The sequence below is a fragment of the Homo sapiens genome, chromosome 4, assembly GCF_000001405.40.
Source record: "Homo sapiens chromosome 4, GRCh38.p14 Primary Assembly".
NCBI classification, from domain to species: domain Eukaryota; kingdom Metazoa; phylum Chordata; class Mammalia; order Primates; family Hominidae; genus Homo; species Homo sapiens.
In genome coordinates this window covers 102,320,804-102,346,914 of record NC_000004.12, presented here as the reverse complement: position 1 = coordinate 102,346,914, position 26,111 = coordinate 102,320,804, and the positions used below count along the sequence as shown (strand labels likewise).

Here is a 26,111-nt window from a genome sequence, read left to right as displayed (position 1 = left end):
TGCTGCCTTCTGTCCTCTGAAGTTAGATATAATATAGTTAAACCTTCTTCCATATGACAATCCTTCAGCTTCGTCTGCCTAGATCCTTAGCCTCTGGGAATGTTCTCTACCTGTCTCTTTCTTCTGCAGTTATGTCTTTAGGTTCCTCTTCTAAGATTAAGATTTTTTCCCTTTCCCCATCTTTTCCCCTTTGTCTAGACTTAATGTCTCTTTAAAATGTGCTATTTTAGGAGGCTGTGCATTCTCCTGATGAAAGGCAAGAACGGCATCTTGTATTCTTTTTATTGTCCTTAGTCACGTGAATGCAAAATGTCTGAGACAGGTCTCAGTCAATTTAGAAAGTTTATTTTGGCAAGGTTAAGGATGTGCCCCTGACACAGCCTCAGGAAGTCCTGAGACATGTGCCCAAGGTGGTCGGGGGTACAGTTTGCTTTTATATATTTTAGAGAGACATGAGACATCAATCAATATGTGTAAGATGTACATTGGTTCAGTCCAGTAAGGTGAGACAATTGGAAGTGGGGGCTTCCAGGTTAGAAGTATAATAGACAAGAGACAAAAGGTTGCATTCTTTTGAGGCCATGATCAGCCTTCCACTCAATAGACAGTTTAGTCTGGCCCAGTGAATCTGCATTTTTTGCATAAACGATGGAGAAGAGAAAGCAATCAGATATGCATTTGTCTCAGGTGAGCCTCAGAGGGATGAATTTGAATAGAATGGCAGGCAGGTTTGCCCTAAGCTGGTCCCTTCTTGATGTTTCCCTTTAGCTTGGTGATTTTGAAGTCTCAAGATTTATTTTCCTTTCACAGCCATCTAACAGTGAAGCATGGTTTCACTTTACACTTGAACCACTATATCCACCAGATACAAACTTTGCCTCAAACACCACACTCACTTTACACAAACCTGTTGACATCACACCTAAGTCAGCTTTTCTTGAGCTCCCATATGAACAAATAAACATTCCTCTGATCTGCGGATATCCCGCCAGGAAGGGCCGGCTTGGGCAGTGCTGGCTCAGCTAGCCCGCCACCGCTACCATTGGATTTCCTCTTTCTCCTCTGATTTTAAGAAGTGAGAAAAAAAAGCAATTCCTGTTAATTATGTAGACAATGCAAGGGTCTCCAGGCTCCATTTCAGCAAGTTGGTTTCATCAAGATCACGAAAAGATGCATGCGTCCCCGAGACCAGAGAGGAGTTAGGGACCCCGACACGGAGGTGGCATCAGGTAACCCTCAGGAGTGAGGGTGGGGAAGAGGGCATGGCTGATGCTGGGAATGAGCAGCGCCCGCGGAGGGAAGGCCGGCGGTCCTGCGCCCCGGCGTGGACGCGCGCGGGAGTTCAGGCTGGGGAAATGGGTCACCACGTGCTACGGAGGCGGGGACAGGGCCCTCCTCCCCTTATTTGTAAAGAGCGCCGGAGCGGATCGCGGAGTTTCACCGCGGACCTGTCAGAGATACAGAGGTTGTGGGGGCGGGAGACAGAAAGAGAGAGAGATCCAGAGACCGAGTCTTACGTTGACACGCAGAGAGAAAGACGCAGAGACAGACAAACAAACAGATAGGAGAGGTGAGAGGCCAGCGAGTGCTTCCGATTAACTTGCCAAGCTCAGAGAAGATCCGGGGAGAGGGAGGGTCCCCTTTAAACGCGCAATCCCCAGGACTCCGGAAGAGCCCTTTTCTGCAGCTCCTTGGGGACTGCACGTCTCACTTCTAAGTTTGCGGCGGAGAGAATAAAGCAGAAAGACAGGAAGAGGAGGTGGAGTTCTACAGTTAGTGTGGTTTTAGTTTTTCCTAAGAAGTGGCGTGGTTTGGGGCTTTATATCCGGGAGGAGCATATGTACGCAAATCCTGGGGCGTTTGCAAACCCGGATCCGGGGCGTCTGGCCCCATGCCCGGCCGGGCGTTTGAGGGCTACTGCCACGCAGCGTTTCTGGAGCCTGCCGGCTGGTGCCCTGGTGGCCTTTATCTCTGTCCCCCTTTGTCCTCTTTATCTCAGGCTCTCCAGGAGGCCGGGGGGCCCACTCCGCCTATCGCTCCCCTCGGCTACGCTGCCACTTCAATGCCCCGCAGGTCGCGAGCTGCTGTTCTTTCGAAGGCGTCGGAGAACCAGGGGCGTCCCGCGCCACCTCTGACTCGGAGCAGCGCCGAGCACTGACGCTCCCGCCCTTGGGCAAGGACGCCAGTGCGCCCGCGCGCGTCCCTCTGCGCGGCAGCCCGTCGCGGGCCCTCAAGGGGAAGCCCAGGCCAGGATGGCCCCGGGTCGCGCGGTGGCCGGGCTCCTGTTGCTGGCGGCCGCCGGCCTCGGAGGAGTGGCGGAGGGGCCAGGGCTAGCCTTCAGCGAGGATGTGCTGAGCGTGTTCGGCGCGAATCTGAGCCTGTCGGCGGCGCAGCTCCAGCACTTGCTGGAGCAGATGGGAGCCGCCTCCCGCGTGGGCGTCCCGGAGCCTGGCCAGCTGCACTTCAACCAGGTAAGGCCGCCAGGTCCGGGCAGCCCTCCGTACTGTGGGTGTCCCTAGACTTCACTTTGTATATGAGCCGTTTTTATTTGGGAAAAGTGCAGGAGAAAGAATCTTGTTATATTTCTCAAGTAGAAGGCGGTATCTGGTGACACTTGCTTTTCACTAGACGAGGCTGAAGGATTAAAAGGTTAACGTTGTTAAGGGATTTGGCAGCCGGAAACTGCAGTTTTACGCCTGATGAACTGAGAGGTCCGACTCTGGTGATTTTAACATTTTATAGAAAACTTTATGAAGTAGTTGAGGGTGTGACGCCACTTTAACAGATGCTTTTTAGATAGGAATGAGTTACTTAAATCTTGCCAGAAAGATAACGGCTCGCACACTTCCTACAAGGTTAGCAAGGAAGATTATCACATGCCACCCTGGTTAACAGTTGCCCGGTGCGTAACCAGTGCTATTTGAAAACGAGATATAATGTAGTTCTGGCTCCTGTGTACATTACATGAGGCATTCAGGGCTGAAACAGGGGCGGCCTTGAGACTAAGATTCTAATTTGGTCATCCAGATGGTGGTAGACTAGGCTTATATTGTTAGTTCCTTGTCATATGTCAGGTCAAATATTTGATTCTAGTATTTATCCAAAATGATTAAAAAAATTTTTTCAGTAATAAACAGGGTACTACTAGGCATTTGGCAATACCTTGGGTTTAAGAACAAGCTTCAAACTACGTAGGAGCAGTTAAACATCATACCTCTTTGTAAACATAAAATCAAATTATTCCTAATTATTTCTATAATAAATACTCTGTGATTGGGTAGTTCTTAAAATTGTTAAGTAGACAAAGTGTAGTTTCTGCATCCTTCCAAAACTGCTCTCCGTCTTTTAAAACTCAGTTAACTCAGTGCTTTGACTTGTTTTCCTTTACTCCTGTCCCACTGACAGCTGATATTGGAGGGTAGAATACGGTATTTTCCATATCGTTTGTCATTTTTGGACGATGTTAGTTTGTTACAAGAAGTTTTTGGGGTCCAAGATGTTTGGGAAATGCTGCATATTATACTCTGCTCTTGGAAATTTGGCGTTTCCTAATGAATATGACTTTAGATTACAGTTAGGGAAACTGTAATCAAATAAATTCCATGTTAATAACATTATACGTAGATTGATCTTTTTGTTAGAAATATCTTACCACAATTAAAGTATATGGCTCTTAAGAAAAGTAGAACTTTCTGATGCCATGGCATGTCAGAGGTGGTCTCTCTTTGATCTAGAAGGGTTTTGTGGTCCCCTTATGCATGTTCTTTAGTAAATTGTCTATAATTCCAGTTCTGGGCATGGTATTTTATCTGGGGTAATATCTGAGAAATGATGTGTTGGAAAAATGGAAATGCCCACAAATTATGCTAATATTTAAGAAAATAAAGTGTTTGCTGGCTAGTTGCATTCTTTTCTTATCAAATAGGGGAAACAACTGAGCTGACTCCAGTATTTCCAGGTAGGTATGGTCACGTGCTTGGAAAGAAGTTTAGAGGATTGACTTGAAGCTGCATATCTGTAGCCCACACATTGTTTTGACTTGCATGACCTCCTTATCTTGCAGTGTCTGGAGGTGTTGATGAATTTTAAAGGGGCAAAAGACCTCCCCACATCACCTTTGCAAAGACATTGGAAAACATGCCTAAATTATTTAGGAAAATTGGTTAAGTGTACCAGTAATACGATTCTCTGTTTATTAGCAGGCAGGATGTCTCAATAGGTAAAATTATATGTATCTTGACACCTGTTTTCTCATTCTCATGTTTGCATATTTAACTGCCCTCATTATGGCCTCTGTGGGCATCAAAAAGAGACAGGAAGAAGCCCATAATTACCTTGGAAAGAAAAGGAAGCCAAGGAAAATTTACCACTTAATAAGCCTAACAAACATCTCTTTGATGTTCTTGCTTTTTTTTTGAGACTGAGTTTTACTCTTGTTGCTCAGGCTGGAGTGCAATGGCACGATCTCAGTTCACCACAACCTCCCCCTCTGGGTTCAAGCAATTCTCCTGCCTCAGCCTTCCAGGTAGCTGGGATTACAGGCGTGTGCCACCACACCGGGCTAATTTGTATTTTTAGTAGAGATGAGGTTTCTCCCTGTTGGTCAGTCTGGTCTCAAACTCCCGACCTCAGGTGATCCGCCGGCCTCGGTCTCCCAAAGTGCTGGGATTACAGGCATGAGCCACGGTACCTTGCCTGATGTTCTAAAAAGTCCTAATGATGACAATAATCATTGGTTAAATGATGACAAATGAAATACCAATCTAAAAGAATCCATTGATTTGCTGGTAAGTGATGGACTTGAGCCCACAACATTCATGTATGCTCCAGTGTGAAACCACCCAATTCTGGAGTAAAATTTTAGGGTCATTAATGCTTACATACCCTGAGGAATACAACTTCAGTTTCCTCACAGGGTGGAATAAACAATGCACATGTCTATTGTGAGACACTGGTTTTTGGCTTTGAAAAAGGCTAAGAAGATAAAATTTGTTTCAAGGTCCAGGAATTTATTGAATCTTCTACAAGATTTAGTTTTCAAATAACATTGTTCTTTTGGTTGAGGGCTGTGATATTTATTAGGTCAGCTTTTCTCAGGTAATAGACTAATGAACTCTGGAGATTTGTTAGACAATTTTGGAAGGTTTTCTAAATATTTTTCTTCGTATCCTTAAGTAAGGACTACTAAATTAGCTTGTTGCTTTGGGATATCAAAGAGGTCAGAGTTCAAACTGTAGACAGTAGAACAATTGAGCCAATAGTTTTGCTTCTTATAGCTACTGACAGTGCGAAGAGTTAGGTAGAAGCAGTGACCAAAACAACAAAGAAGAGGGAGCCCTTTTAGCCAAATAGGTCTCTGGGGCCCTCATTTCTGGATAAAGGTCTGATCTATTGAGGGGAGTTCCTAGAATACACAGGGAAGCCCCAAATATCTGGATACCCCTGGGTTATTAATCTAGGACATTTAAGAATGGCCTCAGTGCTGCCTTTTGTTTGTTCAGCTGTTCCTTTCTCATTCTTCAAATGTTCCTTTTCCTCATTTCCTCTTTCAAACACTGTATTTTCAAGTTCTTATGTGTAGATAGTGGTTAAACAGCCTGATAAAAGGAAGATCCTATTTTCTAAATTATCACACTGAGCTGCTGGAAATGCCTCCATTCAGAATTTCTTCTTCTGATATATATTTTTTGATATATATCTTGCAGCCCATCTCCTGTAGTGCACATAGTTTTTTTCTTCTCACATTTCTACTGGTAACCAAGTTCTGTTTTTAACCTTTTTCAGTTCATATTCAGTCTTCTCAAAGCAACACTCTTTCAAAAAGCCTCCATGAACTGTCTCAGCTGGCAAACTCTAAATCTTGAGCCTAGCATTTAAGGCCTGATCCTCCTGTGTCAACCTACCTCTCCAGACCTAGCACCCACTAAACTAAACTACTCACTGCTCTATGGATTCCCATAAGCTTTTGCTCAACCACTTCTTAACTCATTATCTTCCTTGGACCTTTCCTGCCTTTGACTGAAATGTTCTTCTTTTCCTTGAATTGCCCTGTGAAAATCTACTCTCTTAAGCCCAGTTAAACTTCACCATAAAACCTTTCTGGGGTATCACAGCCAGCACTGATTTACTGATTTCTCTATTTTCTGAATTCCTGAAATATTTTTTACCATGCTGATGTCACTTCTATTCCTGTGTTCAGCAGACATTTTAAATGACTGCTGCACTCTAATTTGAATGGTTATTTAAAAATACAAATCTGATCATATCATTCATCCTGTTAAACAATTCAGTGACTTTTAGATAAACTACAAACACTTAGAGTGGCTTCAAAGTCCTTTTCTGATTTGGTCCCTGTATGTTTCTTAAACCGTATCCTTTGTCACAGTTCCAATCTTAATGGACCATTTACACTGCCTGGTTCTCTAGAAATACCTGATTATGCTCTGGTATCAGTTTAGACATTACTTCTTCTGAGAAGCCTTTCTTGATCTTCTCAAGAGTGTAGTCGAAGTCCCTTCAATGCAATCCTGTATTTCTTGGTGCTTGTGCAATTATAACATATTATATATTGCAATTATATTATAACATGTAAATTATTTTATATGTATTACAGTTTTCTGCTTATGTGGCTATAACCCCTGCTGCCTCTCTCTACCCTCCAAAAGATTTTTAACAAGTTGAAGGGCATGGTCTGACTCCTCTCTCTAGAGACTAGTGTAGTGCCTGGTTTATAACATGTATTCATTATAATTTTTTTGAATAGATGGGTGAAGATGGTTTAAGATGAGTTTGATAATTTGAGTCCTCACATGACTTTACAGTCTATTGGAGGAGACATGACATATGCACATATAATTATAATGCACGAAACAGTGATATGCCTGATTAAGGAACTAACCCATTTATGCCTGAGGTTGCAATTTTTTGAATTTTTGCAATCAGACCTTGGCAATGACCTTGAGCAGTGGGATATAAATAACTCCCACATGCTTAGTGTTTCAATAATGGAACACTAGGAATAAATGTGTTTAAAAACCAATGTGAGATAAGACCTGTGTTTTCAGAACATTAATCTGACATGAGAGTGTGGAATGTATTGGAGTGGGTCAAGGTGGGAGCTAAGGAGCCATCTGCAGTGGATTTCATGAGATGTAAGGACCACTTGAATTTGGAGAAACTCAGAAGGTAATATAAAGGCTCTGCCTTCAGAGACTTCAAGAAGAGCAGGCATGGCTGAAGAGTATGCAAAAGGCCCCAAAGATAAGCCTTTTCTATTTCAATATTTTGCCTGTAATCATTATTTATTTAAGTATTGCTAGATCTCTTCCTTCATTATCTTCTGACCCTGTGATGCCAGAAGGAGAAAGAATAACTCCGGGCTCATATTAATGGATGGCCAGGCTAGTGGTATGTAGCAAAAAGGAGTGTATGTATGTGTGTGGATACTGCAAACATGTTTTTTGCATTGCCTGTTGTCATCTACTGCACTTTTTCCTGGGGTGGGGGTAATGATGGGTTAGATGAGGGTGTTTCTGGGAAGCACTGACTATGGACAGAAGAGATAAAGAACATTTGTTCTTTTTTTTTTTTCCCCTTTATGTGCTGAGAAATGGTGGGGGTAAACCTTCTAGGAATGCCTTCTAACCTGCTTGTTCAGGTGAGAAACTGGAAGGGCAGGACAGAGGGTGAGGTTACCTAGGTCTCTTGTTAAGAATCCTCCAAGACAATGGCCCCATTCTGATCTATTAGATCACTCTCACATAAGTTGATTGTGTACAGTGTGTTGATTGTATTTCAAGGCTTTGGGAAAATGAGGGACATTCGTAATTCATTTGACTGTGATGTCAAGAGCTTAGTTTGCCTTGATGCCAGGTGTGATTGGGATCCATTAGGAAAATGCTTTTCATTCCTTTCATATCTAACTCCCAAAATCACATCTTTACCCACTATTCTAGGAGTCATATGAACCCTTTTATATGTAATGTAATAATTATAGCTAGGATTTATTAATCTTTTACTGTGTGGCATTACTCCCTTAACCAATTTATTTGTATTATCATGTTTCATACTCATACCAACTCTATGATAAAGGTCCCATTATTATCTTCATTTTATGTGTAAGAAAAATGTGGCACAGAGAGGTTAAGTAACTGGACCAACGTCACGAAGTAAGTGGTAGAACCTCAGGCAGTCTTACACACTATGCTATAGTGCATTTTTTGAATTACAATCTAGAAAACCATACTTTCTCTAGCTAGAGCAACCATGACCTTAGATTTTGAACTACAGGGAGAAGTTACTAGTCATCGACTGCCTATCTGGTTACATTGCTTAGTCACATTAAGGAAATGGTACTAGAGCTGTGGAGGCTACGATGATGATGACTTGTCTTTGTCCTCAGAGACCTTATAATTAAGAAATAAGATGGAGGCTGGGCGCGGTGGCTAACGCCTGTAATCCCAGCACTTTGGGAGGCTGAGGGGGGCAGATCACAAGGTCAGGAGATCGAGACCATCCTGGTTAACATGGTGAAACCCCATCTCTACTAAAAATACAAAAAATTAGCCGGGAGTAGTGGTGGGTGCCTGTAGTCCCAGCTACTCAGGAGGCTGAGGCAGGAGAATGGCGTGAACCCGGGAGGCAGAGCTTGCAGTGAGCCGAGATGGCGCCACTGCACTCCAGCCTGGGTGACAAAGTAAGACTCCGTCTCGAAAAAAAAAAAAAAAAAGAAATAAGATGGAAACTGTGAAAAGTGACTATGGAAGGCAAAGCTGCAGTAATCACGAAAGCAGACATTGTAAAACATATCACAAGGCCATATATGATTGTCACATGGATACTAGAAAACATCTGCTACTAGTTTAGAAAGGTGAGGGATTTTTTGGGGTTGGAAATGCCTCATGGAAAAGTTATAACTCAGTCAATTTGGCTTATCTGGTTTGGTTTTTAAAAAATTTATTGATTGAACTCTTGCTTATACCAAATGTGATGAATTTTCATGTGAATTACATGAATTCTTTTTTAGAGGATGAAATTTTCTTTTATTGTTTCATATATAATGAATTTTTTTAAGGGACTATATTTTGAGCAACAATAGTACTTTCTTCTATGGATAGACTTCAGGCATGTCTAGTATGAAACCTTTCAGTTCATTTCTCACTTTTATGCTAGAAGTTTTCGGCCAATGAATCCACTGTCTCTTCTGGCGGTTTAGAATGGAAATCTTCCCTTATGATGCCTCTGAAGCAATTGCATTCTTAACTGCACAACACTGGAGAAAGTGGTTTGTGCATAGGTGTTGGGGAATGAGTTGAAGCAAGGAGGGAAGAGTAGGTGAGCCGAGCCAAGTACTTCAACAGAATCACTGACTCTTAACTATAGGTAAGACAGTGCTGCTAGGAGGCAGTTTGAGCTTTCTCACACAGTTATCAGGTGAACTTTCCATAATTGGGATAGATCTTTCTCTCTAGGGATGTTCCCTAGGGTTGTTCTCTCATCTGGGTGGGAGATTTGCAGCTGTTATGCTTTCCATGATTTATTCTTATCTTGGGATATATTGAGGGGCAGGGACTTAGTTTTCTGCTTTCTAGTCATAAAAACCTATTACTTTTCAACCATAATAATTGTTTAAAGGTGTTTTCTTTAAATTTAATATACTTTTGATTCTTTTTTTTTTTTTTTGAGAAAAGTGAATTCCTTTTGGTGGTAGTAGGGATTGGGGGAGAAAAATAGGAATATAAATAGAAATGGAAAATAAGGCCTGAAGTTGAGAAGGATCAGTGATCCTCAGGAAAAGAAAAGCAACATCTAATGAAGGCAATTTAATGTGGCTGGTAATGGGTTTGCAAGTTACTTGTATTCCAAGTGGTGTTTCCTCAAGGGATGTACACATTACTAAGTGCAAACAGCTAGTATTAGGGTCATTTACAATGCAATTTATTTTAAAAAAAGAATGTTACTAAACTCTAGGCTATCTAAAAAACTAGGTAATTTTCAGAATTTTCCCATTTCCAACTTTATATAACAGTAGATTCCTGTTTGTAATCAAAACTAATTAATTTATTCTCAAATTATTCCCAATTGTCTGTTTCAGTAGCCTTGAGATTTATTTTATAAAGAAATGAACCTTTCATCGAATTACCTTTGTGTTGATAGGATTTGGGAGCATAGAAAACATTCAGAATGGAGCCTTGTTTAATTTGGCTTCCGTCTCTTTCTAAAGATACTCTGTTGTTTTTCCTGGCCTGAAGTTTAAGGAGAATAAAAACAAAAATCTGTTGAGTCTAGATTAAAGGTGAACCTGAAATGTAGCATTATGCCCTCCAAGGCCAAATATTTAACACCTTGACTTTTTTTCTTTAAATAACTAATTGAATAGCTAGAGAAAAAAATCAAGTGAGCATTGATAATGCCTCTAAGTCTTTAGTTCTTTGAACCTAATTAAAAAATAAACCATAATTGTAACCAATTTATTTGGTGAGCTTCTTAGACCTCTAACTATCTTAGAGAATACAGCATAATGGTTTACAATCTGGCTTCTGGAGTCAGGCAAGCTTGCGCTGAAATTCTAATTCTCTTGTTTACCACCTGGGAAATCACAGCCAAGTGACTTACCCTCTTTTTGTAATCCTTAGTTTTCACATCCGTAAATTGAGAAAAAAAGAGCCTTACTCATAGGACAGTTTTTTGGACTAGAAAATAAGAACAATATTAACATTTATTGAGCATTTAACATATTTCGGGCACTTATATATTCAGTATGTTATACGTGCCAACTCAATAAAGATATAAGACTTTTTTCCATTACCTATATTGCTTCCAATAATACGTAATACAAAAGACAATGTATGTAAAATACTTAGCATTGGGCCTGGCTCAAATTATGTGCTCAATGCATAGTTATTATCATCATAATAGTATGTTACTCGATATAGCTACATTATCCTTAACAAAATTGTCTTCCATTGATGATCTGAACACCCAAGCGTCTGTCAACTAAAAGAAGAAAGCACAGCCATGAAAAGACAGCAAGAATTAATGAAAAAAAAGATCAGTGAGAAATAAGTCAGTCCAGTGCCTTTGATTTCAGTCTTGGTTTCCATGGTGACTCACCTTCAGAGAGGCTTTTACAGTTTACCTCCACTTCCCTTTCTCCAAACACTGGTAGTAAATTCTTGAAAATGTAAACCTTAGGAGTAGAGACTAATAAAATAATTTGAGTACTTCAATGTGCATTGAAATTATTACCTCCCTTCCAGAGGACTTCTGATGCTACATTTAGAAGTTGGCTTTATTTTATTATTTTTGCCCCAGATTGGCATCACCACTGAAATGTGAATGTTTGGGGAACCATATAATACTTCCAGAAATGGATAGAATTGCGGTTTTAAATTGAGATCTACTTCTAAATCTGTATGGACCTCTATATGGGTTTTGCAAGCCGAAGAATCCAGGACCCTCTGCATTTAGCTGAACCCTGTTGGATAGAAAACAGATAAGAGAATGAGCATTATTTTAGTCTAACTGGAAGAAGTGAGAGATGTATCTCTTCAGCGACAGGGAAACAGAAAGTTAGCCCGAACTTCAGCGAACAGTAAAATCAGTACACCGATTCTGAGCTTGGCAAAAGTTCCTGCTTTATATAAATATTCATCATATGTTCTATAAAACATGCAGTCCCTTATGTTAAGAGATGCATGCTATGATGGTACCAGGTAATAGAGTTTGAATGTTAAATCATAATGCTCTACAGTTTTCTTCAGGAGCAGAGTTCCCCAGAACGTAAGTATATTATTCGGTTACTTCACCTACACATTAGCATGAACAGCTAGACACTGGCTCTGTCTCTAGTCTTGGGATGAACGCTGTTTAAGTAAATGTTGTGGGTAGGGCCTTTACTGTGGCAGAGGAAACAGGTCCTGTCCTAGTAAGAATATTTACTAACAATTACGGAGCACTTCTTGTGTTCCAGGCATCCTGCTCAGTTCTTCTTTATACACCATTCTGTTAAACCTCCTGATCCCATGGAGTAAACACTCTTGTTATTCCCTTGAGGAAACTCAACCTTAGGTAGGTTAAGTAACTCACTTTAAATCAGATGACTCATATTGGCAGAGCACATATTCCATTCCAGGGTGACTGGATTCTATAACCGATGCACTTTCCACTATTGCCTCTCATGCTGAAGAGTATCATCCCACAGAAGGACTTATTTTCCAAAAAGCCAAGTGCCTCTTGTGTCATCCAAGTGCCTGAATGTCAAGGTAGAACTAATGCCATTTTCTTGAAGCCACTGGGAACTGTACAATCATTTATTTGAAGCTGGCATATGTTCTCTGCTGATGTTCCCCTCTTGTTTGAGTGAAAAGAGGGAAAAAATGTCTTTTCTTCCCCTTGTTAAAGTTGTACTTGCAATAATCAGGGCCGGCCCTAAAACTCATTATTACTTCCTCTACAAACTAGTTTTTAACCTTGCAAAGTTATTTCCTGACAATTAACATTTGATACTCGAAACAATATTGTGAGAAAATTGGGACATATCAGTTCCCCCAGAAACTGAGATACGAATAAGTCATTTGGTAAAAGTTAGACAAAGTCCCCAGATTTTTCTGGGAGACCAGACATTCCAATTTTGAATCCTCAGTTCTTTTTCCTTGGGCTAACTTTAATCAGATGCTGTATTAGCAAGGCCACGGTGCTCTGACTAACCTGAATATTCCATGATCTTTGTGTTTCATTTACTGTGTATAACTGGACCATAGAAAGGTGCGAATGCCTGTTCTGTTTTCTCACCTCTCAGTCACTATTCAAACCATTGGTTCTGGCTTTTTTCTGTCCCCACCACTTCCCTGAAATTTATACCAAGTCACATGGAACCACCTTATTGTTAGGTTCAGTGGGTGCTTCTCAGGCCTCACCGCTCTGATAATTTTGTTGGTGTTGATTACATCCTACCTGAAACACATTCTTTCCTTGCTTGCAGCTGTTTGTGCCATGTTTTTCTTACTTCTCTGGCTGCTGCTTTTCAATTTTGATTTCCTTTGCTCATTCTTTAAATATTAGTGCTCCTCAGGTTTCCATCTCGAGCCTGTTTTATTTTGATGTCACACACTCTTTCTGTATATCTTCAAGGACTCATATGGCTGTGATTATCTATCTGTAGATGCTTTCTACATGAGTTGGCTTACTTCAGATTTCTCTCTTGAGATTCAGCCTTGCGCACCCAGCTGACAATTGATGTCTAACTCTTTTCTTTTCCCCAACTCAACAGGTCTAAACCTGTCTCAAACAAAACTCATCAACTCCATCTCTTTCTCCATCAAAACCTTTTGGTATTCCTGTTTTGCCCATCTTAGTGATAGGTATTACTATCTGCTCACTGAACTAAGCTGTGAAACTGGATGTTAATATTGACTCCTCACTTTTTCTTTCCCCTTCCCATATCAAATGCACATAAGTCTTGTCATAATAACTTATAAATATCTCTTAGTTAATCTCTTGAAGCTCCAACATCCTCTTTGTGTAATGGGGAAAATTGTACCTACCTTATGGGATTGTAGTAGAGATGAAATCAGATAATATGTCTAGCCACTCTGTCTTTTGCCTGGCATGCTGTAAGTATTCAATACACATACACTCTGTTACTGCTGCCGCCCTCTGCATCCAGTCTTGCCTCACATATCTCTTTCCTCTACATTTCTTCCAGTCTTGAATACATATATATGTATATATATACACATTTTATTATTTTATTAGACTTCAAGTTCTGGGATACATGTGCAGAACATGCAGGTTTGTTACTTAGGTATACGCGTGACATGGTGGTTTACTGCACCCATCAGCCATTATCTACATTAGGTATTTCTCCTAATGCTATACCTCCCCTAGCCCCGCAGCCCCTGACAGACCCCAGTGTGTGATGTTCCCCTCCCTGTGTCCATGTGTTCTCATTGTTCAATTCCCACTTATGAGTGAGAACATGCGGTGTTTGGTTTTCTGTTGCTGTGTTAGTTTGCTGAGGATGATGGTTTCCAGCTTCATCCATGTCTCTAAAAATGACATGAACTCATCCTTTTTTTATGGCTGCATGGTATTCCATGGTGTATATGTGCCACATTTTCTTTATACAATCCATCATTGATGGGCATTTGGGTTGGTTCCAAGTCTTTGCTACTGTGAAAGTGCTGCAATAAACATATGTGTTCATGTGTCTTTAAAGTAGAGTGATTTATAATCCTTTGGGTATATACCCAGTAATGGGACTGCAAACCATCAATTGGTATTTCTGGTTCTAGATCCTTGAGGAATTGCCACACTGTCTTTCCCAATGGTTGAACTAATTTATACTCCCACCAACAGTGTAAAAGCTTTCCCATTTCTCCACATCCTCTCCAGCATCTGTTGTTCCCTGACCTTTTACTGATCGCCATTCTAACTGGCATGAGATGGTATATCAGTGTGGTTTTGATTTGCATTTCTCTAACAATCAGTGGATGATGAGCTTTTTTTCATATGTTTCTTGGCCAAATAAATGTCTTCTTTTGAAAAGTGTTCTTATCCTTTGCCCAGTTTTTGGTGGGGTTGTTTGTTTTTGTTCTTGTAAATTTGTTTCAGTTCCTTATAGATTCTGGATATTAGCCCTTTGTCAGATGGATAGATTACGAAATTTTCACCCATTCTGTAGGTTGCCTGTTCACTTTGATGATAGCTTCTTTTGCTGTGCAGAAGCTCTTTAGTTTAATTAGATCCCATTTGTCAATTTTGGCTTTTGTTGCCATTGCTTTTGGTGTTTTAGTCATGAAGTCTTTGCCCATGTCTATGTCCTGAATGGTATTGCCTAGGTTTTCTTCTAGGGTTTTTATGGTTTTAGGTCTTATGTTCAAATCTTCAATTTATTTTCAGTTAATTTTTGTATAAGGTGTAAGGAAGGGATCCAGTTTCAGTTTTCTACATAGGGCTAGTCAGTTTTCCCAACACCATTTATTAAATAGGAAATTCTTTCCCCATTGCTTGTTTTTGTGAGGTTTGTCAAAGATCAGATGGTTGTAGATGTCTGGCGTTATTTCTGAGGCCTCTGTTCTGTTCCATTGGTCTATATATCTGTTGTGGTACCAGTACTATGCTGTTTTTGTTACTGTAGCCTTGTACTATAGTTTGAAGTCAGGTAGCGTGATGCCTCCAGCTTTGTTCTTTTTCCTTAGGTTTGTCTTGGCTTTATGGGCTCTTGTTTGGTTCCATATGAAATTTAAAGTAGTTTTTTCCAATTCTGTGAAGAAAGTAAATGGCAGCTTGATGGGGATAGCATTGAATCTATAAATTACGTTGGGCAGTATGGCCGTTTTCATGATATTGATTCTTCCTATCCATGAACATGGAATGTTTTTCATTTGTTTGTGTCCTCTCTTATTTTGTTGAGCAGTGGTTTGTAGTTCTCCTAGAAGAGGTCCTTCACATCCCTTTTAAGCTGTATTCCTAGGTATTTTATTCTCTTTGTAGCAATTGTGAATGGGAGTTCACTCACGATTTGGCTCTCATCTGTTATTGGTGTATAGGAATGCTTGTGATTTTAGCACATCAATTCTGTATCCTGAGACTGCTGAGTTGCTTATCAGCCTAAGGAGATTTTGGGCTGAGACGATGGGGTTTTCTAAATATACAATCATGTCATCTGCAAACGAGACAATTTGACTGCTTCTTTTCCTGTTTGAATACCCTTCATTTCTTTCTCTTGCCTGATTGCCCTGGCCAGAACTTCCAGTACTATGTTGAATAGGAGTGGTAATAGAGGGCATCCTTGTCTTGTGCTGGTTTTCAAAGGGACTGCTTCCAGCTTTTGCCCATTCAGTATGATATTGGCTGTGGGCTTGTCATAAGCAGCTCTTATTATTTTGAGATACATCCCATCAATACGTAGTTTATTGAGCGTTTTTAGCATGAAGTGGTGTTGAATCTTATCAAAAGCCTTTTCTGCATCTATTGAGATAATCATGTGGTTTTTGTCATTGGTTCTGTTTATGTGATGGATTACGTTTATTGATTTGCATATGTTGAACCAGCACTGCATTCCAGGGATGAAACTGACTTGATCATAATGGATAAGCTTTTTGATGTGCTGCTGGAATTGGTTTGCCAGTATTTTATTGAGGAGTTTTGCATCCATGTTCATCAGGGATATTGACCTGAAATTTTCTTTTTCTGTTATGTCTTTGCCAGGTTTTGGTATCAGGATGATGCTGACCTCGTAAAATGAGTTAGGGAAGAGTCTCTCTTTTTCTACTGTTTGGGATAGTATCAGAAGGAATGGTACCAGCTCCTCTGTATCCGTGAATACCGATACAGAGCTGTGAATCCATCCAGTCCTGGACTTTTTTTGATTGGTAGGCTATTAATTACTGCCTCCATTTCAGAACTTGTTATTGGTCTATTCAGGGATTAAACTTCTTCCTGGTTTAGTCCTGGGAGGGTGTATGTGTCCAGGAATTTACCTATTTCTTCTTTATTTTCAAGTTTATTTGCGTTGAGGTGTTTATAGTATTCTCTGATGGTAGTTTGAATTTCTGTGGGATAAGTGGTAATTTCCCCTTTATCATTTTTAATATGTCCTTTTGATTCTTCTCTCTTTTCTTCTTTATTTGTCTAGCTAACAATCTATCTATTTTGTTAATCTTTTCAAAAAAACCAGCTCCTGGATTCAGAGATTTTTTGAAGGGTTTTTTTGTGCCTCTGTCTCCTTCAGTTCTGCTCTGATCTTAGTTATTTCTTGTCTTCTGCCAGCTTTTGAATTTGTTTGCTCTTGCTTCTCTAGTTCTTTTAATTGTGATGTTATGGTGTTGATTTTAGATCTTTTTCGCTTTCTCCTGTGGATACTTAATGCTATAAATTTCCTTCTAAACACTGCTTTAGCTGTGTCCCAGAGATTCTGGTATGTTGTGTCTTTGTTCTTAAAGAAATTACTTATTTCTGCGTTAATTTCGTTATTACCCAGTAATCAGTCAGGAGCAGGTTGTTCAGTTTCCATGTAGTTGTGTGGTTTTGAGTGAGTATCTTAATCCTGAGTTCTAATTTGATTGCACTGAGCTGGGAGAGACAGTTTGTTATGATTACCATTCTTTTGCATTTACTGAGGAGTGTTTTACTTCCAATTATGTGGTCAATTTTAGAATAAGTGCGATGTGGTGCTGAGAAGAATGTATATTCTGTTGATTTGGGGTGGAGAGTTCTGTAAATGTCTATTAACTCAGCTTGGTCCAGAGCTGAGTTCACAGACTTGAATCTTTTTTTTTTTTTTTTTTTGAGACAGATTCTTGCTCTCTCCCCCAGGCTGGATTGCAGTGGCACTATCTCAGCTCACTGCAACCTCCATCTTCCAGGTTCAAGCAATTCTCCTGTCTCAGCTTCCGAAATAGCTGGGACTACAGGCGCCCACCACCATGCCCAGCTAATTTTTGTATTTTTAGTAGAGACAGGGTTTCACCATATTGGTCAGGCTGGTCTTGAACTCTTGACATCAGGTGATCCGCCTGCCGTGGCCTCCCAAAGTGCTGAGAATACAGGCATGAGCCACTGTGCCCAGCCAACTTGAATCTTTAATATGCAAATCTGAGCATGTCACTATCCTCACATGACTTCCCATTATTGTGAAAATAAACTCTAAACTATTTGCCTGGTATTTACGGCAGAAGCATCTGCCCCCACTCCCATATTTCTCCAGCCTTATTTCTACTTTTTCCTTCACATTTCACCTTCAGTGCTGCTTTCTCCAGGAAGGCTTTGACAGTCCCATTACTTCAGAGTTGGCTAATACCTCTGTCTTCTCCAAATTCATGGAGCCTACCTCCACACTTACCAGACTATGCTACAGTTATATATGTCTTTTTTTTTTTTTTTTGAGATTCAGTCTCTCTCTGTCACCCAAGCTGGAGTGCAGTGGTGCAGTCTTGGCTCACTGCAAGCTCCGCCTCCCGGGTTCACACCATTCTCCTGCCTCAGCCTCCCGAGTAGCTGGGACTACAGGCGCCCACCACCAAGCCCAGCTAATTTTTTTGTATTTTTTTAGTAGAGACGGGGTTTCACCGTGTTAACCAGGATGGTCTCGATCTCCTGACCTCGTGATCCTCCCACCTTGGTCTCCCAAAGTGCTGGGATTACAGGCGTGAGCCACCGTGCCCGGCCCCTGCAGTTATATATGCCTTAATATGGACTCTGCAATAGTCTGTATGGTCCATGAGGCAAAGGACTGGGTTTACCTGGAAAGCCTCCGCTATGCCCATAACTAGCATAATGTCTGACATTTAGGCGATATTCAAGAAATATTTGTTGAATGAATGAAATACTTGATAAATAACTTCAACCTTTTTAACTGATAAATTTTTAAATGATTAATTTTAAACCAACATAACCTTCTAAATTAATATTCCTTTCCCTCCTCATCATCCTCTAAAAGGACACATGAACTCTCTATTCTGCTGGTTTAAGCAGATGATCTAGACATCAACCTAGATGCATCATTTAATTTAATTTAAGGTAAACCAGCAATTCCATTTTTTGTTGCCGACAATGAATTAAAAAAAAAAAAACAGAGAGATAAGGCCTGAGAAGCACCCATTGTATTTAGCAATAGGGAGGTTCCAGTGACCTTGTATAGAATAATTTCAAGGAAGTGGTGGGAATAGAAGCCAGACCACAATGGGTTGAGGAATGACTGAGAGGTGAGGAAATGGAATAGGTATTCATGCATTTCCATGGGTCCAATTACACACATAAAAAACCTAAAAGAATAGTACATTAAAATTTAACCCATGGGCCATCTAAATAGAAGGAAATAAAGTTTTTATTACTTTTAGTTTATGAACTTTCCAGGAATTTTTTTCTTCTCATTTAGCCTGGGATTTTCTCTGTAGCCCATTACTATATTCTTTACGGCAACTTAGAAACACTGATATCAGGATTAGTTTATTTGTAGCATCAGGGCCACATTAAACTGATTCTAGGAAAGTTTCATAGAATGAGAAGAAAAACTTATGGCTGGAATATTTGCCTCCTCAGAGGTCTTGGTAGATGATTCCCAGGTTATTGATTTATATTTCTCAGAATTATATTCAAACACAGTGTGCTAGTTTGAAATCTCCTTTCATTCACCTTCTTTCCTTAATCTACAAAATTAGCAATTGTTTATAAATTGAGTGTCTTATGTGTCCAAGGACTTATTAGGGGTTGAAGAAGATATAAAAAGGAAGAAGTCCATTCTCTGTAGATTTTTATGATCTTATTGAAGGAATATCCATTTCATGAGAAGATAATAATACATGGAAGCACACATTAAGTGCTAAACAAATAGATAACAGGGATGTCTGGAGTCTGGAGAAGGGATGGGTATAGCAATATTAGGCAGTGAAGATGGATTCCAAATGGGCCTTGCAGGACAGACAGGAGTTGGGTAGTTTGAGAGGAGATGTATCATATTCTAGGCAGGGGTCATGGGAGATGCAAAGTCACAGTGAAGTTACAATATAAGGCTGATTATAACTGGTTAGGATAGAGTATTCATCTATCCTTTTACAGCATGCTGAAGGGGGAAGGAATATTAGAGACAGGCAAGTGAGGTTCTTAAGTGTTAGGACTTTAGACTCTCGGCATAAATGTGTACAATTTTTTTGAGACAGGGTCTCACTGTGTCACCCAGGCTGGATTGCAGTGGCACGATCATGACTCACTGCAGCCTTGACCTCCTGGGCTCAAGCGATCCTCCTGCTCATCCTTCTGAGTAACTGGGACTACTGGTGTGCACCATCATGCTTAGCTAATTTTTAATTATTTTTGTCATTCAAGCTGGTTTTGAACTCCTGGGCTTAAGTGATCCTCCTGCCTTGGTGTCTCAAAGTGCTAGGATTACAAGTGTGAGCCACCATGCCAGGCCAGAAATGTGTAATTTTGAAGGTTTTTGTTTTTGTTTTTTTGGTATGTGTGTGTGCAAGGGTTGCAGTTTGGGCAGAAGAAGGACATGCTGATGGGTGATGCATCAGTAGAAACAACCTTGTGGAGTTGTAGGATAACCAGGATGAGAAGGGTATTGGATACGATTAGGTTAGAAGCTCCTAGCTCCTCAGTGAAGTGGTACATAAGGGCTCTCTCTGCTGGTGTGTCATTTTTATCTGCTAGATTCTCAAACATTTTGGTCTCAGGACCCCCTTGTACTCTTAAAAATTATTGAGAATACCAAAGAGCCTTAATATATGTGATTTATATCTATTAATACTTACCATTATAGAAATTAATGTTAAGAAAACTTGAAAATATTTAATTTATTAAACATAACAATAAACCCATTCCATGCTAATTTTATTTTTTATTTTTTTGAGACGGAGTCTTGCTCTGTCGCCCAGGCTGGAATGCAGTGGCGCGATCTCGGCTCACTGCAAGCTCTGCCTCCTGGGTGCACCCCATTCTCAGACCTCAGCCTCCCGAGTAGCTGGGACTACAGGCGCCCGCCACGAGGCCTGGCTAATTTTTTGTAGTTTTAGTAGAGACGGGGTTTCACCGTGTTAGCCAGGATGGTCTCGATCTCCTGACCTTGTGATCTGCCCGCCTCGGCCTCCCAAAGTGCTGGGATTACAGGCGTGAGCCACCGCACCCGGCCAAGGTGCACTCATTTCTTGTGGCAACTCCCCAGCCCTGAGTTGAAGAAGCAGCATGCCCTCCACACTTTATCCTCAGAAGGACTGAGTGGGAAACCCTTGGTGTACATCAAGGAAACAAAGGCTTTTGATCTTGGCAAAATGGGATAATGCCCATGGGATTCCCTAGCAGATGATGGGAAGTAGGGTGGCCTCTGCCCCCTGAAGACATGTCAGGGGTGGGAAGCGAAGGATCTAGATTGGGTGTCTGTGCTCTGACACCACACCACACTTTTAGGAGTCTAAAAGAACACCTTCTCTTTTCAAGACAAGACCTCGAAAAGCTGAATATGGAATGGGGTAGGGCTGGGAAACTTGTCCATCACTATGACAAAGACAGAAAATGTTGTAAACCTCTTTTAAAAAGATTGTTGTAGCTTTCAACATTCTTTCTTTTTCTTTAGTAAAATCTCTAAGAATTCCAGCCTGCCTTTTGTTTAGGGGAACCTGGAAAAAGAGATTTTAAACAAACAAAACATGACTTAATTTTATTTTTCTTAAAAGAAACTGAAATACAAGTACATTGTTAAAAACTTTGGCAGATATAAAGAAGCAGAAAGGAAAAAAAATAAAACCACACATAATTTTACCACTCAGAGATAAACACTGTTAACATTTGGAGCACAGATTTATCCTTATTTATAGCAGCATTCTCTATATATTGTTTCATAATAATCTTTTTATCCCTAGCAGTGCATCATAAAACAAGGCATCTTTATCCTTTAAATTGTATATTCAGGAAAAGCGTTCTTCATCTTCCCTTCAAAAAGAGTTTTGAGAGTGAACGTAAGTGTGTGTGTATGTATGTGTATGCATGTGAGTGTGTGTGTATATGAGTGTGAGTGTGCATGTATGTGAGAGTGCATGTGTGTTGGTGGCATCAGTGCCAGAGTGACTTCAGTAAGAAGTGTAAGAAAACCTGAGGAAAAATGGAAAAATTAATCTTGGGGAAACAGAGTTGGGGTCACTTGACTGGCCACCTCTTAAACCTAGAGATTATTTTTATAGAGTGTTCTTGGCTTAAACCTTAGAAAACTGTCTTTTATCTTGATAGAATAATAATGAGTAAACTTTGAAGAGGACTTTAAAGAGGGGAAAACTTCAAGAGAAGGTGGAGAGAGAGATTCAGCGTGTGTATATATGTATACATATATATATGTATATATAAGTATGTATGTATATATCAGGGAGATTTGGAAGTGAAACTTGAGTGCCTTGTAATTGAGGCAGTTTCATTATTGCAGGAAGAACAAATCTGGAAGCAATTTCCTCAGTCACTCGTGCTTTGAATGTTCCTGCTGTGAGTGTGGAACATGTAAGTCACCAATTCCATTGTTCAGTGAGCCCTAAAAGGATAAATTAATGGGACGGTTCACTTGTTTCAAGGGTCAGAAGTGGTCTCCCAATTGTTAAATTCAAACTACCATTTTAAATGTATGTATTTCAATTGCTCTCTTGGGATCTTTGGCCAGTTGCCATATTCAAAACACTTTTAGGTATCCCAATGATTATTTAATGGGAAAGAAACCTCTGGAATCCTGGAATTCATATCTACTTTAGTATTTATTAAGATGATTACTAATATTGCTATGTACCTGGCATGCAGTAGTGCTCGGTAAATATGTGTTGAATGTATGAATGAGTAAATAAATGAATGAATCTCTCACTTGTCTTCACAGCATTTTTGGAGCCAACTGCAAAAATGGTTTAAGTTCATAGCTGCAAACTAAACAAAATTATGAAAAAGCAAAAGAAATGAAGTGCAGAAAGCGAAGTATACCTAAAATTCTCACTCTGGTGAGAAAAGTTGGCTGATGTTTGAACTGTAGGATTTTTTTTTTTCTTTCTTGAGCCGGAGTCTTGGTTTGTCACCAGGCTGGAGTGTAGTGGCACTATCTCGGCTCACTGCAGCCTCCGCCTTCTGGGTTCAAGCGATTCTCCTGCCTCAGCCTTCCGAGTAGCTGGGATTACAGGCATGCACCAACACGCTCAGGTAATTTTTATATTTTTAGTATAGACGGGGTTTCACCATGTTGGCCAGGATGGTCTTGATCTCTTGACCTCATGATCTGCCCGCCTCGGCCTCCCAAAGTGCTGGGATTACAGGTGTGAGCCACTGCAGCTGGCCGGACTTTTTTATTTGTATAAATGTAAGTACAAGGGCAGTTTTGTTACATGAATATATTGGGTAGTGGTGAAATCTGGGCTTTTAGTGTAGCCATCACCTGAATAATACATATTGTGTCCATTAAGTAATTTCTTATTGTAGGGTTATTTTTGAAGTCTGTCTCTGAGTGGGATCCTAAATATGGTTTAACAGTTAATTTAATTGTGTGTTTCAACTCACTATTAGGGGCAACAAAGTGCATTCTCTGCCAGGGTCTCAATGATTCTTTCATTGAATCCTTCTCAGTGTTGGACCAAGACATAGCAGCCAGAATACTGGCTTACAAGTCAAAAGGCATGAGAACACATATATCTGAATTCTGTCTTTAACACTTTTACATTGTTTAATCTTGTACCGTTAGAAATTTACCTTTCTAGACAGGATTTCTTCATCCAAATTTAACCTAAAATCTATTTAAGTGGTTGATTAAAGAGGTTATACGTGTTAAGCATATATTATGGTTTGCTATTACTGTAGTCCTTATATGCTTCCCAGAACTCTTATGATAACTATTGCTTATAAAATTTATTCACCAACTAATTGCATACTCATTTGCGTTACTGATCTCTCCATTAATTTTTTTGTGTATCATGTCTTATTTCCCCAAGAATCAGATGCATCAAAATAACAAACTTAGCACATGTATCTCCTCCTCTAGGAAGCCTTCCCTGACCTCATTCCTTTAATCACATGATATGTTGTGCATATTTTTATTTGCTTATCTGTTTTATATGTATCTCCTTTCTATGCTGAATGATGAGATTGTTGAAGATGAAAACCATGTCTTATTCTCAACACCTACTGGAATACCTGACTCAGAGAAGGTGTGAGCAACCTGTTCAGTTAATGAATAAATGAATGAGAATGAAGGAGAAGTGGAATGGGCTTCTATAAGAGCAGAACAGATGAAGATTATAGGTGGATTCTTATTAAACCTCTTACTTGTTGCATCTCTTTAAAGAACAGGAGATCGCCACTTACTTGGGGTGGGGGAAGGATGGGTTTCATGGCTTTCATCACAGCTGCATACATGGCAAATTTCAGAAAGTAGCTGTAGTTCTTACTGAATAGCAACAGCTGTAGCAATCACTGGCAGGGCAGCGCAGGGTAGAGGTGACTAAAATAAAAGAAGCTAGACAGAGCTCTTTCAGACTTGGATTCTAACCCCAGTTCTGCTGCTTGCTCCCTCTGGGGCTTTGTAATGGTATTTAAAGTTGATTGTCATTGAGTCTAAATGCATTACAAAAATCTGTGTCTCCCTGCCTTTACCTCCACAGAGAGAATACAACCACACCTAGCACTTTCCTTATTGGGAATGTGAGCTACTCAGCCTCCCACAGAATCTCAATCTATTGCAAAACAAAATCTGAAACCATTTCTGGGGTGGCTTTTGAATGGGATGATATTTCATTTCTGGTGTGATGTGAAGGCCTTGGTATAATGGTACAGGATCAGATGGTCTTACTGTATTGTATTATTTAATGGGTGCCACTTGATAAGACAACCAAGCAGACAAAACAGCCTGTGTGTGGAGAACAGGAAGAAGTGTGGAAGCTTTAAAGAGTGGAAAGGCTTATCTTTTTGTTTTCCTATAGGTTATGATGTAGCATTCATTCACTAGCTTTTAAAAGTGACTTTTAAATAATTACTTTATGTATCCATCAGTACTCTTTTATTTGTAAGAGTGAAAAAAAATCAACTTTAATTAGCTTAAGCCGAAAGGGAATTCATTGGCCCACATAACTTAAGAGTCAGGGTGCACATCAGCTTTAGGTACAGCTTATCCAGGGTATTGTGATGGTATTGAAAATCTGTCTTTCTCCACTTCTTAGTTAGCCTTCTTTCACATGGCGGCAGAAATGGTTTAAGATGTCCCCAGACTCACAGCAGGACTAGTGGAGAAAGAGTTTTTCAGTAGCACAGGTGATTATAGGATCCAGACTGCTCCTATGCTTACCAAAATCACATGGAAGGCAGTTCCCATGGCAGTAAGGAGGTCTGTTACTAGATGATGGGACAAAAACCCAAGGGTTACATGTCTTTCATCATTCCAGGAAGGCAAAAACCACAGACATCTACCAAATTTGACTGGTCTGGATTGTTTCTTATGTTTTGAGCTTAATTCACTCGGGCTTATATACTGGCTCTTTTTCGTGCTTTTGCACAAATCGTGTATGCATTCTCAAGCCTTTGTTCTTCTTTCTATATGCTGATTCTCCTGATCAGCTCCACTACTCCCACTCAGCTATGACCTCATTGCAGAAGAAGCCACATCCTTGTCTCTGGTCTCTACCTTTCTCAGGGAAAGCTCACCAATCATTTGCATTTGGGGTCCCAGGAGCATTGCAACTTGAAATGTCTAAAACCAAAGTTGCCACCATCCTGCCAAATGGGCTTCTCTTCCTAGGTTCCCTAATCACAGTGTTGCAGAACTTTGTTCCTTAGTTCAGCTTATACTGGGTTCTTGTCACACGACCAGAAAAAATTAGGCACATAGACACATTGAAGGGTGAGGAGAATGGAATTTATTGGGCGAAAAGGAAAAAAGAAAAAAACGACCTCTCAGCAAAGCTAGCGGAGTTCCTGCTAACAGGCCCCCATCTCACAGATTGGTTCCAGGTCACAAACACAGGAACTGAAGAGGGCAGGCTCCTGCCCCTTGCACGCACGGGAAATTCCCATGGCTCCATCCTATTCTCCCACTGCTCAGGCAGGTAGAGATTCTCCGAGGACCCTCCCTTTTATCTGCCTCCTGCATCTATCAACAGCAGTAGCAGCATCCTCTTTCTACTCTCCCAGCATTCTATCGTCAATGTTGTTTTTGACTATTTCCTCTGCATATCATTTCTCCCTCATGTGAACTCTCATAGTTCTTTATTATTATGTTTTTTGTGAATTTATAATTTCCTCTCTGGTTTTATAGACCTTCATGTATCTAATTTATTTCTGCCACAGTGATTTAAGTTTGCTGATGGAAGGCAGTTTTACTTATTTATCTTTGTACTATTTCCTTCCTGGTTGTCATCCTCCAGCTTTCCCCACTTTCTACTTCTCCCATCAATATTATACCTAGACTTTTATGGTTTGATAAATATTTGTAGAATAAAGGAAGGAGTTAATGCAATCTGTAGTATAACTACATGGCTACTATACTTGATATTGTTAAAAAACCAGTGCCTAACAGCAGTCGAAGTGGTAAAAACAGATTTCATTCAGGAAACATTGCAATAGGGGTATGTTAGAGTTCTCCAGAGAAACAAAACCAACAGGAT

At 40.3% G+C, this 26,111-nt stretch overlaps 1 protein-coding gene across 8 annotated transcripts in view, besides 4 other annotated features; it reads left to right on the top strand.

Annotated features, from left to right (window-relative positions):
- Positions 901-950: an enhancer, noted in NCBI's record as "active region_21751". NCBI's record gives its function as "activates an Ori minimal core promoter by ATAC-STARR-seq in GM12878 lymphoblastoid cells {active_cell/tissue: GM12878}" and the evidence as "EXISTENCE:reporter gene assay evidence [ECO:0000049][PMID:35858748]".
- The window catches only part of SLC39A8 (solute carrier family 39 member 8), a 94,442-nt gene continuing 69,763 nt past the window's right edge, over positions 1,433-26,111 (top strand). For 3 of the 8 annotated variants that reach the window (XM_024454184.2, NM_001135146.2, XM_024454183.2), the window contains exons 1-2: positions 1,433-1,570; positions 2,000-2,471. In XM_024454184.2, coding sequence (XP_024309952.1) covers positions 2,253-2,471 — 219 coding nt within the window. In that variant the 5' untranslated portion in view covers positions 1,433-1,570; positions 2,000-2,252. Of the gene's footprint in view, positions 1,571-1,661; positions 2,472-21,916; positions 21,988-22,351; positions 22,666-26,111 lie in introns of those variants that run through there. The other 5 variants (XM_017008541.2, XM_047416070.1, NM_001135147.1 and 2 more) reach the window with 5 other exon arrangements.
- Positions 2,131-2,380: a silencer, noted in NCBI's record as "silent region_15595". NCBI's record gives its function as "represses an Ori minimal core promoter by ATAC-STARR-seq in GM12878 lymphoblastoid cells {active_cell/tissue: GM12878}" and the evidence as "EXISTENCE:reporter gene assay evidence [ECO:0000049][PMID:35858748]".
- Positions 2,851-2,910: an enhancer, noted in NCBI's record as "active region_21750". NCBI's record gives its function as "activates an Ori minimal core promoter by ATAC-STARR-seq in GM12878 lymphoblastoid cells {active_cell/tissue: GM12878}" and the evidence as "EXISTENCE:reporter gene assay evidence [ECO:0000049][PMID:35858748]".
- Positions 24,854-25,381: an enhancer, noted in NCBI's record as "H3K27ac hESC enhancer chr4:103242691-103243218 (GRCh37/hg19 assembly coordinates)". NCBI's record gives its function as "activates a minimal SCP1, AML or CMV promoter by ChIP-STARR-seq in primed H9 embryonic stem cells {active_cell/tissue: H9 hESC(primed)}" and the evidence as "EXISTENCE:reporter gene assay evidence [ECO:0000049][PMID:30033119]".